The sequence below is a fragment of the Homo sapiens genome, chromosome 3 (genome assembly GCF_000001405.40).
Source record: "Homo sapiens chromosome 3, GRCh38.p14 Primary Assembly".
NCBI lineage: Eukaryota > Metazoa > Chordata > Mammalia > Primates > Hominidae > Homo > Homo sapiens.
Genome location: NC_000003.12, coordinates 153,718,091 through 153,735,660, shown reverse-complemented (window position 1 = coordinate 153,735,660; position 17,570 = coordinate 153,718,091). Strand labels below are relative to the sequence as shown.

The 17,570-nt window shown below is 36.3% G+C and overlaps 1 long non-coding RNA gene across 1 annotated transcript in view; it reads left to right on the top strand.

Moving 5' to 3' along the window:
* LINC02006 (long intergenic non-protein coding RNA 2006) overlaps positions 1-17,570 on the top strand; it is a 378,977-nt gene that overhangs the window by 26,866 nt on the left and 334,541 nt on the right. Inside the window, exon 2 of the long non-coding RNA NR_146713.1 lies at positions 4,854-4,906. This is a non-coding gene — a long non-coding RNA (long intergenic non-protein coding RNA 2006). The remainder of the gene's footprint in view (positions 1-4,853; positions 4,907-17,570) is intronic.

The following is a 17,570-nucleotide window of genomic DNA, read 5'->3' as shown; positions in this document are numbered from 1 at the left end:
AGCTCACTATGGCTAAACTGTTTGTTCAAACAATTCATTTGTACTGAACATTTGCTTTTGTTCTGGGAGTCTGGAATTTTGATCTGTGCCTGGTAGATATTATCTATGTTAAAATAAAAGCTTTAGAGGAATTAAATTTAGCAGAGTTTATTTGAGCAAAGAATGATATATGAATCAGGCAGTACCCTGAACCAGTAAAGGTTCAGAGAGCTCCACTCAGTAGTGTGAGCAGTGAGCTTTTGTAGACCAGACACAGAAGAAAACTAGAGAATTCATTTGATCGCTACAGCAAGGTATCTGCCTTATATGGGCATGTTGTGATAAGTTGGCAGGCTGTAATTCACTGAGCTTGGCTGCTGTGATTGGCTAAGATTCAGCTATTTGTTACAAGAATATACTCTCAAGTTAGGCTTTCAGTTTAAGTAGTAAACTAGGTTGCAGTTGGTACATAGAGACTCAAGGTACAGAGGCAGGCTTGGGCCAAATTTAATTTAATTTAATGCCTATGTGACCAGCTCTCCAACAAAATTCTGGGTGCTAAGGCTCTAACAAAGTTCCCTAGTTAGCAACATTTCACATATGTTGTCACAGTTCACAGAGGAGGGGAATTAAATGCATCTTATGCAACTTCACTGGGATAGGACTCTTGTAAGATTGCACCTATTTTTTCCTGAACTTTGCCCATGTGCCCTTTCTTTTTGTTGGTCTTGCCCTAAATTCTTCTGCTACAATAAACCTTAGTCATGAGTATGACTATACACTAAGTCCTGTGAGTTTTTCTGGTGAATTATTAAACCTGGGAGTGGCCTTAGGGAAGCTCCACTCCCAACATAGTCACTATTGCCAGTTCTTTTGAGAATCATAGTGTTCTTGCTGAAATAATCTTAGAAATGTGCTTTGTTTTTTCAAATATTTCAAATTTACCTATCACAAAATCATAATCTCAGCCAAGAAAAATTAAAGTGATATAGGTTTCAAATCTCTGTGTCACCATGTTTTCCTTCATAGCACAGAGGACCATCTCAATTATATTTATTGAGTGCCTCTATGAGTAGTCACTTTTGGCCTTTCTCTATGTAGTGAATAATTTGGCTTTGCCCAAAGATAGGTCTGGCCTTTTCCTTAGGCTTCTGGGAGATAATTTATGTCATGACCTCTTATGAGTCTCTTTGTTTGGGCAGGGGCTGGTCACATCAGAAAGAACCACCATGTGATTTAAGGTAGGGTCTTTGGGACAGGTAGTATCAGTTGACCTGGAGGCTGAGTTCAACCAGAAGGGCAATCAATCAATCAATCATGTCTACATAATGAAGCTCCAATAAAAACTCTGGACACTGAGCTTGGGTGAGCTTCTGTGGTTGGCAATATTTCTTGTGTACTGTCACACTCAATCCCGGGAGGGTCACCTGTTCTAGCCCCACAGAGGACAACAAAAGCTGCTTGCTAGGAACTCTCCCAGACTCTACGTATCTCTTCCTTTGGCTGATTTTGATCTGTGTTCTTTCCCTATAACAAACTGTATCTGTGAGTATAATAGCTTCCAGTAAGCTCTGCGAGTCCCTTTAGCAAATTATCAAATTTGAGGGTCATATGGGGCACCCCCGAACTTATAGTTGATGTCAAAATTGGATGTTTTGAGGACCATGCCCTCAAACATCACAGTTTGGCTGGCTCTGAGTACCCCCTTTCCCCTTTCCTTGACTTTGTTTTGGTAATTGCCAACTGCTGAGGCCAACTTCATCTACTTGCTATTTTGTGAATATTTCTTTATGTGTTCCACTTGTATTATAAGACAGGATAAAGGTGGGGCAGGGGCAGTTTGAAATGTGACGGTAAGAAGCATGTGCACAATACTCATAAAAAACTAGCTACCAACAGGGGGCATGGGCATAAACAAGCTCTCACATTACAGATGGCACTATAGCTGTGATTCCCCAACCCTGGAATGGAAAGAAGTTCTAGGACCACTACTCTAAACAATATATTGCACTAGAGTATTCTTCTTGTTTGGTCAACAGTGGACCCTCATATGTCGAGCACATTTTGATTTATCTGAGGCAGAGGAAAATCCAAAATTCTAAATTTTTAAGTCTCACATATTTTGGGACAAATAATAATTTTTCCCCCACTTTGTTTCCTTAGAGATACCTATGACAACTGTAAGCAAAATATTTCATGGCCACTGAGGCAGCATCACGATGGCACACTGACCTAACAAATAAGTGAAACAATATATCCTGTTAACATGATATTTTGGATCAAAATTGTGTTAAAGTATGTGCATTGCAAAAACATATTAATCTTTTTCTTTAAGGCAGGGTTCTTGTTTTAAACTTAAATACCTTTAAAAGTGTTTATTTTCTAAATATAACCCCTAAGCAGGGTTTCCATAAAACAATATACTGAAGAGTAGAATTAGAAACCCAAAGTTTGTTGCCCTAGCATCTCTTTAAAAATTGGGAAAGAGAAGAATTTCATAAACTTCTGTTTTCTCTGTCCATAATCAAGAATTTTAAGGTTAAGAACACCTAAGAAATAAAAAGGAGAATCCAGTGTCTAGATCTTCTCTGAAGTAAAAAATTTCAGGCTCTAAATTTGCTGATATAAATAGTCATAGAGAAGAATAATTTTCAAACACCTCTGTGCTTTTTTTTATATCCAGTCAGTACATTCCAGCTTCTGGACAGTTTTCATCTTCCAACCAGCATGCTCCTCAGAAAGTATAAGCATGTGTGCAAGAGGAGATCAGAGAACGAGCTCAAAAGAAATGATTTTATCTCCTATTTGGGTTTTTCAGAAGAGAAAGGTATATGGGTGGGAAGAAGAAAAAAGGGATGGAAAGTGGGGAGATATTTCTCCAATGATAGCATGGACAGAAGCAATTATTTCTGTTTAAAGATGATGATGACTAGATGATCTATGTTTATATTTTAATATACCTAGTTGGGCTAATCTAATTTTTATTAATTTAACCTTATTCTTCAAAATGGCCTCTATAGTTTATTAGATGATTGCTATTGTAGATTTAGTCTCCCTCTCCCCCCATTTTGATCTTACCATCTGTATGGTGAAGTGAAAACAATGGGAAGCCAGATATGTTTCTGTCTAAGCTCGTTTAACTCTTCCTAAGGCTCTCTTATTCTTTAGCTGTTAGGAAAGCCTTAACTACTACTTTCCCTCTTATTCCTCTGACTTTACTTGGACATGCCTCAAGCCACCATTTGTTTTTGCCTCTCCTGTTCGTAAATATCTACCTCTTCAGTTTCCTTTTCCATCTTTACTCTTCATGTCCGTTTGTCAAAATAACATAAGCTCCATAAGGGCAAGGACTTTCTTGCCATGTTTTCTTGCCATATTCATTGCCATATTTTCAGTGCCTAGAATGGTGTCTGGCATATGGTAGGAGCAAAAAAACTTTTTGTTGAATTAATGAGTATTTCCACCATAATTTTTTTAAAAAGCTAATGTCTTTGATCTTCATTGTAATAAGGCAAACAGATTATTACCATAGTCATTGCATCATTCAAGTAGTGAATACGTTGTTGATGAGCTGGGCTCCACTAGAATCTGACTTTGAAGTACAACTTTCCAAAAACACATCATATTGAATACATTTAGTAATCTAAATCCAATCAATGATGTAGAGGCGGCCTTGAAAGAGACTTTCCCCGAAACATGCTGAGGTTTCAAAACCACTTCTTTTGCTTATAGATCTTCCATTCATTTAAGAGAACTTCTTATTACTAGAAAGTTGGATGGATTGGAATGAAGTATAGCATAGTCTCCTCAATATATTTTAATAGGCTAGGAAAGCAAACTACATGTTTATACTTTAAATATATATGTGTAGAATCATCTGACAGAATCAGTGTCTCAGTGTTATGGGAGTCCCTCTTGAGACTCTCTGATATCACAATGCTGTGGCATTTCTTATTTCTCTTAGGAAGAATATGGTGTTAATAAGCTGTGACTAATAATCAAGCTGCAAAAAGACTGCTGTGCCCTTGACCTATTCATTTCCCACAAGATAAATTATACATATTGTAACAATGAAAGAAGACAAATTACATATATTGCAAATTCATGTAAGAAATCTCTCCCTGTCTAGCAATTATATTTGCTGCTTGACGCTTCTTTTGGAGAATAGGAAAAAAATCTTGTCTTTTGGTGTTCAAATGAGGTTAAGGATGTTGTGACTCGTGACTCAATGTCACCATTTAACCTACCTCAAATGAACTAAGAACTATAATTGGATGTCACTTGGGACCTTGGTTTCTGCTCCAAGGAAAGTAATAAAACAAGATAGAACATATTACCCCATTGAAATAATTGCTTGGTAATGCCCCATAAACTTGTCTGAGTTGCAGGTGAGGCCCTCTGTTTTTGCCCAAAGACCAAGTAAGCTAGATAAATATGCTGTTCAGGCTACTTGAACTTTTGAAGAATTATCACATTTGCCAGAGGACTATAAGTAGTACATGTAGTATCTGGCTTTCGCTTAGGATTTTCTTTATCAGGCAATAAAGAAGTAGTAAAACCTTTGTGAATAGTCTCTATCTCTTAATGTCTACAACTTTTATCCCACTGTAATGGAGCTAAACAAAGTAAGGTCTGGTCAGAGAAATGTCAGCCCTTAATTTATGGAGGTTTTGAGATACTAAAAGAACTTATTACCTCCCCTTGTAAATTATATGTAGACATTAAAGCATTATATGTTGTATTGTAATGTGCTGTTCTGAGCCCTGGGCTGCCTACCCAACATCTCCATATGGAGATATCTCAATCTTAACCAACGTAAAATGAAGATTTTTAATAGTATTATTAATAATTGACATTGTTTATTTATCTTCTAGGTATGTGAGATTCTGAAAGAGGTATATTAAAGTCTCAGCATGAAAGCATAAAGGTATTTTATCATATTTTTGTGATAAATATTTCTGATATTCACTTAACCTGAGTTGAGTGACCATGTTGTTTGATGCATGAACTTATAACTGCTATATTTTCTTCATAACAATGCTTTTAATCATACATATTGTCTTTTGGTCCTACTAAGTTCCTTATCCTTGTATTTCACCCTGAATGATGTTACTGCAACTCCTGATTTTTTAATTTGAATGTTTTAGCATCCCTTTGACCATCTCCATGTTTTCTAATTTTATTTATAGCATTATGATTATTGAAAATAATCGATAACTTTTTAAAATCCTTTAAAATTTTTAAAAAAATTTGTCATTCTGCTCTTCCATAAGAGGATTATATTAATTTGCTTTACTGTATGAAGTAGTACACTTGATTTTACTCCATTAATCTTTCATAGTAATAATATTTTAGTTTGTTTTTTCTTTATACTTTTTAGGAATGTGATTAAAATTATGAAACATTTTGTAAATGTATGTATCATTCATGCTAAGGGTTCGTGCCAATCTCCTCTGTACTCCAGTCTTGCCATATAAGTGCAAAAGTGTACATGGGTGATTTCTTCTAGTTCCCCTTTTCAGAATTAAATTCTTGATCTCCCTTCTCAGGACTGTTCTGATCTTCTTCTCTAGCCAGAAACTCTGGGGTCAGCTCTCCTTCTTGCCTCTTCCTCACAATCACTTCCAACCTTTCAGTAAGTCCTGTCAATTCTGTCTCCAGAGTATCTGTTCACCTCTTTCCCTATCCACAACTATCACTCTAGTCTGAACAATATTTACCTGGATAATGCAGTAATCTCAACTAATTTCCCTATTTCCAATAAAGAAAGAGACTATGGAATACTTGGCATATTCTTGTAAGAAATTCCTCTTTGTGTTTGTCTTGTTCCTCACCAACTCATTTTTCCACAAAACCTTTAAAAAATACAAAACTTGTCATATTTTTTACTCTGCCCAAAGTCCTTCAGTTTCCCATTCCACGTGGAATACAATTTCAAAGCCTTTATTAATGGCTCTTACCACACTGGTTCGATGGAATTGGTTTCATCATTTTTCTCCCTGAATTGAGAAAGCATATTTGTTGACTACAATCTTTATTATTAAGAAAAAGCCTTAAAAGTTCTGGTTCCCTAAAAACTTTGTATTCTCTTAGAAGAAAAGAGAATATTATCTAACAATTAAAAGACCCATTAGTTTCAGAAGTAGTTGACTTCACACTTAATAGAGTAGATGGGACAAAAATTAAGGATAACAGGAACTTGTTTGGCTAGCAAATACATGCCTGACTTTACTCTCTTTTCTATCAACAAAATAGAAGACAGAGAAGTCAAATACTTATATCCTATCCTAGTAACTTTTGTAACTAGAGGGTGGCTGCATGATATAGTTTTAGCTAATGAAACCTAAGTGAACATATGCTGGGAGAAGCATACATTTTTCTGATAAAAATATTAGTCACAAGCAGCCAGTGTTACTACCTTAACCCTACCCTTTGAAGGTGTAGCCTGGAGCTATGGAAGCCATCTTGGAATTGTGGAGGAGGGCTGAACCACCCTGGCATTAATGAACCATTAAACCAACATCAGCAGCTGCCTAACTCCAGACTTCTAGTTATGCAAAAACAAATTATTCTTTTTAAAAAGCACTGTTTTCTTTTACATGCAGCCAAAGGCATTCCTACAGTAATGTCAGAATAGAACTGAAACAAAACCTCTGATAGGCAGTAGATTTCAACATTCAGATGAAGATTCAACCATATAATGTTTGATCCTTTACTATTCTGCATTTTCCAAATATTTTAGTGTAGTTTTAAATTTTAATATTTTCATATCTTTTTTTTTCATACTATAAACTTACAAATAGGAACACCTGAAAAGGCTAATTACTTTCACTTCTTCTACACTTATTTGTGAATTTTGAATAAACATTTTTAATTTTAATAATTTTTAGTCTTTGCCAGCATTAATCAGATGGACTGAAGCATAAGTCACCATAGTGTCTGTGGGGGTAAAAAATAAAATTAAAAATCAAAAAATTAAAAGTCTATTAATGAAAAGTCATAAGTAGGTATACGTGAAATTGAAATACAATCAAGCTTTCAAATGATGTTCGTTGTCAATTAGTATCACTTATGCTTCTACAGTTATTAAAGCTTAAAACTGCATCGTGACTTCTGGGAGACCCTGATACCAGGCACTGTAGTAAGCACTAGGATAAAAAGGCAAATCACACAGACATAGTTTCTAAGTTTAAGAAGTTAAAAATCTGATATAAAGGCTCTTTATCCTGATAGCACACTAAATTACAGGAAAAAATTAAAAATAACACCACACACGCAGTTTCCAATCCCAACCCCAGGATTTCTGATCGCATTGGTCTGAGATGGGCCATAGGCATCAGCATTTTTAAACTCTCCTGTAATCCTAATGTTCTCCTAGAATTGAGAGCCACTGATTTAGTGTGTGAGCATTCATATTCATTTCCAACCAAACCTATGCCAACAAGCCTTTTCCAAGGTGGCTTCCTTTAAGAAGTAGAATAAAATAGAATGAATGCATTAGAGAAACCTGACCAGCATACTAGGTAGTAGGCATCCTTTTGCACTCACGACTTCAAAGTGGTAATTAATTACCATGTGTGGAATGTCCATAACATTCTTGTTCAAGATTTTTCTGGGTAAGCAATGGGTGGCCTTTGCCTGTTTAAGTTCGTGTTTAAAATCATTCTGAAATGCAGTGGTCCACACAATGTTGTTTGTAATAAACCCTCTCCTTGAAGGATGAAGATAGTCAGTCCTCAGAAATACAGTCTTGTTACTGGCTTAGTGCATACCATATGCGCCTCCATTTTTAAAACTGGAACACAAGAGAATGGTTAATTAAAGATTTCTATTATTATATTTCATTTATTTGAGGTTGTTTTCTATATTGCATTATGTGCTTGAGAAAGAAAAAGGCACAGGGTAAAAAACATTTTATATTTACTCTCCTCAAGTTATTTAGAAACAAATAAGAGATGGGCAATGGCAAAAATAATAAGTAGATTTTTAAAAATATCTCAGTCGTTTTATGTGAGGAGAGTTGTTTTTGCAGTAAGTATCCATTGAGCACCTGCTTGGTGCTAAGTATTTTTCTGGACACAGGAGGAACAACACAGAAGGGGGTCTTTTGTTTGGAAACCTGTAGTCTAATGAGGTAGTTCCATTTTGTCAGAATATTTTGCTTAAGATACATAATTGCTCTATGAAATATATTTTTTATAAAGAGTTCTTGATTTTTTATGAATTTTTTTAGAATAATTTTTTATTTCAAAACAACAGGGATTCGTTTTGTTTTTGAGGTAAAGTTGACCATGCTTTCTGACTAACAAAAAATTAAAAAGTACAGAGGCAAAAAAAAAGGAAAAGTTTAAAGTTTAAATGAAAAAAATCTCATAATCCTAGAATTAACCACGGGTAACTGCAGCCTTGAACTCTTGGGCTCAAGTGATCCTCTTGGCTCAGTCTCCTGGCTGAGGTGCCCATCACCATGCCTGGCTATATTATTAATTTTTTTTTAATGAGAGATTTGGTCTTACTATATTGCCTAAGCTGGTCTCCAACTCCTGGCCTCAAGTGATCTTCCCACCTCCTCCTCCCAAGGTGCTGGGTTTACGAGTGTGAGATGCCATAAAGAAAATGATCAAGGAATTAGAAAATAGACATAATCTGGTATTAGTGATGGATGGGTGAAAATCCTTTTATTTTAGGAAGTGTTCCGATTGCATCTTGTCACAGCAGCTGAAAGAAATTATAGCTGGAGGTAAGTCACAATGTCAGGCAGTGGCAATGTTTGATACCGGTAACACTCTGATAGATTATATGAGTAGTCTTCAAACTGGAGAACATTAGTGTCTGCGGAGTGCACGAAGACTTTCCAAAGGTACAGACAGTTTTAAGGGAACTCAGTGTTCTGAATCTTAACTTTCATGGATACACTTTCCTGAAGCTGATCTGCCTAAGTAATGTCAAGATGGGAGGTCAGTTCTTTTTCTTTCACATTTGTCCTTCACCTACTTTACTCCCACCCAAACTGAATCTTTTTTGGGAATGAAAAGCCTTCAGGGTCTCAGATAACAGGAAAACTTTGTGTAAAATGGTATCTTTAAATGTTCTTTAATCAAGACATCCTAAGAAAAGACTTATCTTTCCTTTTTTTTTTTTTTTTAAATTCAGTCTTTGTGGTAAGCATAGCCCTAAGATGGTTTTCAAGATTCCTAGTTGCTGATGGTGTCTCAGTCCCGCACCTTGTATAATCCTCTCCCTTTGGAAGGAGGCAGGAACTGTGAATATAATGGAATAGCCACTCCAAAGATTACATTACATCACGTAAGCCTCTGTCTTAGATGGGAGGGATTCTCCTCTTGGCTGTCAGCTGCCGTATTGTGAGAGGGATCTGTGAAAGGGCCAAGGAACAAGGAACCTTGGGGTCCCCCAGGACCTGACAGTGGGCCCTGGCTGATAGCCAACAACAAAGCTCTGAAGCTGCAAGAAACTGAATTCTGCGAAGATGACCCTGAGGTTGAGAAAGTATCACTGCCCGGCTGATATCTCATGAGATTCCTGCACTTATGACAACCTGACCCAGCCAGGAGTTCTGATTCACAGAAATTGTGAGATAATAAATACATGTTGTTCTGAGCTGCTGCGTTTGTGGTACTTTGTTACACAGCATAGACAATCAATGCAGTGTTCAACAAGTGTTTATCAAGCATGTACTATATTCAAGATACTGTGATACTGCATTTAATCACACTTTCCAAATTCCCTTCCCTCATGTGGCTTACCTCTTAGGGGGTAGAATAACTATAAACAAAATTTAAATGTAAAATATCTAGAATGTCATGAAGTAATTATTGCCAAGAGAAAAAAAAGTAGGAAAATAGGAAATGACCTGTGTGATGGGCAGGGCTGGAGACAGGGAGGTGTAGAAGGCTTAGCTTTACAACAAAGAAGTAGCAGGGTCTTGTAAGAAGGAAGGTAAGTGGTGATGTTGAGGGGAGAGCATTCTCAGCAGAGGAAAAACCGGTGCACAGGCTCTTGGAGATGGGGACATGCGGGTCTGATGGAGCAATGGCAAAGGGGCCAGTGAGGTGCAGTGGAGTGAATGAGGACAAGAATAGGAGACAAGGCCAGGGAGGGAAAAGGAGGCTAGCTTCTGCATAGCCTTGAGGATCACTGTAAGTTTCTTGGCTTTTACTCAGAGTGAGATGGGAAGCCAAGGGAGATTTTTAAACAGGGGAGTGATACGATTTTCTTTTTCCTTTAACGGACTAGCCATTGCTGCTATGGAATGTGGGTATAGATTGAAAGGAAGCAGGGGTAAAAGCAGGGATAACATTTTGGATCCTATTAATAATCCAGGCAAGAGGGAACTGTGGCTGGATCAGGGTAATCCTGATCCAGAGGATCAGAGGAAAAAGTTGCTAATTTCTAATCCTTTCTTTTCAGCATAATTGAAGGTGGGTATTCTTGACAGAGAATTAAAATCTCCTTCCATTTCCTCTACATACTTTTGTAAAGAAGTTTCTCAGGGTCAGGCGCGGTGGCTTAGGCCTGTAATCCCAGCACTTTGGGAGGCTGAGATGGGCAGATCACGAGGTCAGGAGATCGAGACCATCCTGGCTAACACAGTGAAACCCCATCTCTACTAAAAATACAAAAAATTAGCCGGGCATGGTGGCAGGGGCCTGTAGTCCTAGCTACTTGGGAGGCTGAGGCAGGAGAATGGCGTGAACCCAGGAGGCAGAGCTTGCAGTGAGCGGAGATCGCACCACTGCACTCCAGCCTGGGCGACAGAGCAAGACTCCGTCTCAAAAAAAAAAAAAAAATCTGTAAAAATTGAACATGTAGAATTGAACTGATGCTGAAACCTAACCCCATTCTAGCAAAAGTAATACGGATACATGGATACATGAACTAATTACAACATTCTCAGCATTAAGAGATACATTTTTGTGTTTAATATTCCTATTGAAACTTTTAATACACTTTCATCATCTGTATAAATAATAATTGTAACAAAGAATGATAGGGTGATTAATTATAGGCCTTCAAGTATGAATAAATTCACTAGGAATATTACATTAAGACATACACACCTGTGGGGAAGTGAAATAGAAATTTGAGTACAAAGATTGAAGGGGATAGCGAAAGTTTTCGATTCCATGAAAAAATGTGGTGATTACTTTTAAAAATGGATAAGGAAACTCAACTGAGCCATTTCACGATGTATACGTATTTCGAAATGATATATTACACACATAAATATATACAATTTTTATATGTCAATTAAACGATCAAATAAGTAAAATGTGTTTAAAAATGAGAAAGACTGAGCATCAAATCAGTATGATATTTAGATTCTGTGAGATACATTCAAGCTGGCTGCCTCCAGACGCTAGTGGGCCTGGGCCCTGAGTAGAAATGAGGCCCACCTGCTGTAGGCTTAGGTATTCAGGAGTTACAAGTGTAGCTGAAAAATTGTTAGGAAAAATATGCTCTATTTTACCTTGAAAAATGTTCTCTCAATGTCACAGAATAACAAATGTGTAAATTTTTGGTTTTTATATGCCCTAAAAATGGCATAATGTTTGTGAGTACTGAATTGCGTGCATTTGGGTATTCTTTTGGTGGACTACTTGTTTTTGGATACGTTAAGAGTAATGGGCCGGGCGCGGTGGGTCATGCCTGTAATTCCAGCACTTTGGAAGGCCAAGGCGGGCAGATCATGAGGTCAGCAGATCGAGACCATCCTGGCTAACATGGTGAAACCCCGTCTCTACTAAAAATACAAAAAATTAGCTAGGCGTGGTGGCGGGTGCCTGTAGTCCCAGCTACTCGGGAGGCTGAGGCAGGAGAATGGCGTGAACCTGGGAGGCGGAGCTTGCAATGAGCCCAGATCGCGCCACTGCACTCCAGCCTGGGCTACAGAGCGAGACTCCGTCTCAAAAAAAAAAAAAAAAAAAAAAAGTAATGACATATGTAATATATAAATGATTGTATGTTCTTTCATAAATTTTATTTTTATTCTATTTAGTGGATAGCTAAATTATTTTGTCATAATCAAAATTTTCACATAATTTGTGTTTTAATGACAGTAATAATCTACAAAATTAAAAGCAAATTATAATTATAATCAAAGTGCACAAAACTGAACAATATGTTTATAAAGAATTATAGTAAATGCAAAACAAGAATTTTTTAATGTTTTTGAAAAAAGTTACTTTTAAATCAAAATTACTTAATTTTTGAACACTGAATTTAACATTAAATATATTTATACAAAGAAAATTATTTGCAATTTTATTGTTAAATTTCCATCTAGTTGTGCATGCAAAAGAGGTCTAAATATTCACATACATAAATATAGGGTAATAGGAATTGTTTATTATTGATAAATACTCCTCAGCTACTGTGTACAACTCTTGGCAAATATCATTTTAATCGGAAATTAGAGAGGCAAGAAAATGGGTATTTGACCTGGTAGGAAAAATTACTTTGTTATTTTAAGAACTTTGCATTCATGCCTCTGGTATAGGGATTTGATAAGTTAATCTATTTGTCTGTATCTTAAGCATTTCAAATATACCCTTCCCTCCAAAGCAGCATCTGACTCAGACCTCAGTGGCAGTACATCCTCCAGGCTTTTCTAACATTTACATGCACTTTCTTTTTGTGTGGAGGACTAGGGCAGGAGATGTGCAAAAGTGATTCCCTGGTGTTGAATGGCGTTAGTATTGAGAGCAGATGTTTAGAGTTACAGGTCTTTCTGCATGAGTGTTAAATGCTATGCTCCTGGTAATAGAGGGTCCTGGGCATTTTTAAAATGAATTTATATGGTATGCCTTCACAGTGTGCAGGGTTCCTCTTGCTCAGGTCTAAGAATTCTACTTCACTTAAAAGATCATTTTAATTTTCAAATTTCAGTGTTTACTAATGTTAGAAAATATATTCCTTGCAACTGTTTAAATTTATGATAAAAATTACAGGCTACAACTGAAAATGTGTTATAGGATACAAAGTTTTGCAAAATTATTTTAGAGCTAGTAGAGTTTGAAAATACTGGTTAAAAAGCCTTATATGGTGCTAATTCAGTAGCCTTCCCGCTTCTTACACTAATTATGTTTGTGCCTCTAATTTAAATGCATGAAATTAAATCCATTTGGCACATTTAGTTTCCCTTTTCCCTCTTCAGGCAGAACTTTTTAGCCAGGATTGCTCATGACCTATGATTTTGGCTATAATTTGACCACCTCTAATTAAATCAGCTGTGTTCAGGATTTGATTCACATGGCAGAGACCTCTCCAGTACAAGAATGAACAAAGATTGAGTTACAAGTGTTTCTATTAATATAAGATATGAACTTCAAAGAGGTATTCTGCTGCCATAATCTTGAATTGGTCAGGGACAGCTCTGTGAAGGCACATAAAAGAAAAGGAACAAGTACTATACTAGAAAAAAACCGGGAAAAGTTTCCTGCTTAATAGATATTACTATTTAATGAGAGTGATCGCAGCTGCAGAGCAACAAAGTAGCTGCATAAACCTCATGGCCAAATTGTAAACACTCTCCAGAAACAGGAGTATTTCATCCAATTTTTCAACAGAAATCCTTAAAACAGGTGAGGAAAGGGAAGCATGGTACAAAATAGTGAGTAGTTAAGTGTATGGTCTCTAGAGTTGAACTATGTGGGTTCTCAGCCCAGCTCCACCACTAACTGGGAAAGTCACTTGCCCCGTCTGTGTCTCAGATTCCAAATCCATAAAATAGAAGCAATAATGCTAACTTTCCGCTGATGTTGTTAAGGTTACAGGAGATAATTATTGCTAGTCACTTTGATAGTGCCTGATACAATTAAAAACTTAAGTGACACTAGTTAGTATTATGAATAAAGTTTACTGGAGTCATTTTATGTTAACGTGTTTTTGAATATAACACGAGATAGTGTAATTCTCAATTAATCTACATCTATGGAGGGAAGGAGAGGTATTAATGACATACACTATCAGAAATTGGAAAAAAAGGCATTAATTTGTCTTTCCATTATTTCTGGAAATGTTTACCTATTTTTTAAAATAATTTTCTATGTTTTGTACTCATTCACAATTTAAAAAGCATTTATTTTATTATGAACACAGGAAAGTAATAAGCATAAAAAGTAATTCATTCCTAAAACTGAAACAACTCCACCCTCATTTGCCAATACTACCACTAACTCTTTAATATCCTATGAGTCTTCTGAAATTACATGCATTTGAGAACAAATGGTGGATACACCATGGTTACTTAATATTCATATGGATGCTCTAATTGAAGAGGAAAACAGTGAGATATCTGCAAAATACAATCAGGCAATTCTAGCACTTAAAGTGAAAAGACACGAATGTTTTAGCAAAATAATATTAAAAACAACATAGGTTCATTTAGTAGCAATAATTTCCAAGTGTGCCTTGGTAGAATTATTACTCAACAGTCTTGTTTTATGATCCGAAGAGGGGAATTAAGGATATTTCAGTCCTGCTAAGCTGTTATTTTAATTTGAGAATAAAATCTCTCATATATCTAAACTACAGAAGACATCACACATTTGTGTGCATACATGTGCACACTCACACACTTTTAAAAGCCAGACTACAAATTTTCAACTATAAATTTAAAGGACTACTTAAAATTTTCTAAAGAACTAAAGTTCTTTAGAAAGAACTTTAAAGGACTACTTAAACTTTCTAAAGAAAGTTTATAATATGACATTTTATATTGTATTACTTGGTTAAAACTCAAGAAATAATCACTAGATCTTTTCAAAAAACAATCCACATAAGTGAGGTAGAAGAAAAATTAGACTTGGAAATCCTAGTTTGAATTTTAGCTACGTTGGGAATACTAAACTCCTTTGCGAATAACTTGGTTTATAAGTGTAGGTATTTAATGTTGTTGTAAACTCTCTATGGAAAGTTTTTAAATCAAATGATTATATTTCACAAAGATGCGTTGTAATATAATAATTTTCAGTAGAAATCCTAAGGTAGATAAATAGTTATTCTCATTTAGCAAATGCCCAGAAAGACATGGGAGAATTTAAATATCTTGACATGATATAACACAGTCTACTAAAATGTTATGGTAGAATGTAGGACAACTAGCTACAGCCCTGATCTTTGAACAACAAAAGGGAATTTACTTCCTACCCTACAGCTGACAATTCTGAGCCTCTTAAAATGAACATAATGTTAAAACTCCAAGGTTATGGTTTCACAACAGACTGGAAACAGAGCTCTACAGTATATCAGAGTGGCAGAATCCTAGCATAAAGGCAGAATCCAGACTGTCTGGGTTCAAATCCTAGTTGTGCCTTATTCTAAATGAGCAAGTTATTTAAGCTCTGTCTATGCTCCCGGATCTTCATCTATAAAATGGGGGTAAAACCGTATCTATCATTTAATCCTATAGTGAGGGTTAAAGCAGTTAATAATATGCTTAGAACTGTACCTGGCAAATAGTAAGCATTTAGTAAATGTTATTTACTATTGTTATAGTTGTACTGTTGTTGTATTATTTGTACCATTAGGATTAGGCTTATGTACATATGACATGGGAGTTGCATCTATGATGTGAATTTTTGTTTACTCAGATTAACTTTTCCTCTGCTAAATTAAACTCCTTTATAGATGTCTCAAATTGCACACTGGCAACTTGTTCCTCCTATTGAGACTATAGAGGTGGCATAGACACACAGGTCTTTGCATGGCCAGGAATTATACCAATTATACAGTCTCCTTGAATCAGGCAATTTAGGCCATCCAAACTAATGGCCAATCATCCAGCATGTGGACAGATGATGGTGTGGGGGATTTGTCAGCTATAAGTGTTGAGCAGCAAGCAACTCACATCAGTGAGGTCTGGCAGCAGATATCAAGATATCTTTTGCTTAAGCCAATTTGAGAAAGGTTTACTGTAATTTGCAACAACAGCAAATCCAGGATGACACACACTTACCTTATCAAGTTATTATTATTAATTTACAAACCTATCTTTCTCTTGGAACTCTGAGCTAATACAGGGGAAATATTGTGTATTAGTCATCTTTGTATCAATACGTAGTAAGCATTAAGCAATTGACATACAGCATGGGCACAATATGCATTTAGTGAATGAATGAGTGAATGAATAGATGACTGAATGAGCAAAACCAATTGCCTGCTGTATAGCCAAGTGTCTGAGGAACAGGCTTGTAAACTACAGTTTGTAGGTCATATCAGGACCACAGTCTGTTTTTGTAAATAAAGTTTAATTGACTCACAATTATTCCCACTCATTTATGTATTGTATATGGTTGCTTTTGTGCTACAATGGCAAAGTTGAGTAGTTGCAACAGAGTCTGTATGGCTCATAAACCCTAAAATACTATCTGGCCATTGCAGAAACAGTTTGGCCCGGTAGGTGGACAGATGATAGTGTGAGGGGATTTGGTCAGTGGTAGGTCTTGGGCAGCAAGCAACTCATGTCAGTGAGGTCTGGCAGCAGATATCAATGGCCAGTCCTGGAGACTAAGGGTTAAGGACAGCATTCCCACCCCCAGACAGTCTGGGAGGGCAAAATCCCTGGTAATGGGTAATAGCATAAAGGACAGGGACGGATCTAGGGAGATTTTAGTTTTTGTGTCCAGGGATTAAATCACAGTTTAGTCCCAACATAGTACCAGATGGATTCTGGACTGAAAAAACAAGCAAGGCAATGGTTTTTCTAGCATCTCTGTTACAATATAAATATTTCAGGAAGGGATATGATACTATTACCTAACATTTCACTTGGAATGAGCTTAATATATTCCTCTCTGTTAGTGGTTAATACAACACAGAAGAGATGAGATGACTGGTGAGATCACAAGGACATTGTGTACGTGTGTGTGTGTGTGTGTGTGTGATATTTGTATGTGGAAAGGAGAAGTACATAGGTGGGAAAGTGGTAAAGGGGATGCTTAAAAGAAGAAAGAGTGAAGATAAGAGAAATTAGCTTGCTGGAGACAACCATTTCCTCCTCTTCAATATTGCTTCGGGATGACCCATCTCCTACCAGGTTTTAAAACATAGCCTAATTTTGGTGCCCATACTTCCTCCTCTTAATATGCTGACTGACATTTTCTATGAGGCATGTGGGACAAATAAGCAAAAAATTCAGAAAATAGCACCTCTAATTAGTTAGGCCAATGGACAGTTTGTACTGATAAAATGGGAGGAGTATTTTATGCCTATTTTATAAAAAAAAGAATAAGACAGAAATGTGCTCAGGAGAAAAAGAACACGCAGTTCTAAAAACAAGTGTTTCTATTTGAAAATTTAAAAGCAGTATCTAGAATTCTAGGAATGCAATTTTATAAAAATCCTTCTTTTAAAAAATTCTGAGTGTCTTCTTGTCTCATATAATAGAGATCTTATAAAATGAACAGGCTTCAGCATTTTTGAGATGCTAAAGGTGAGCAAAAAGCAACAACAACAACAAAAAACAAACAAAACCCAAATATTTAGAAATCAGCATCTACAAAAATGCAAAGCTACCTCTACACTGAAAGAAAGAGCTACCAAGCATTTTTGTTTTCTTTTGATTCACCAGA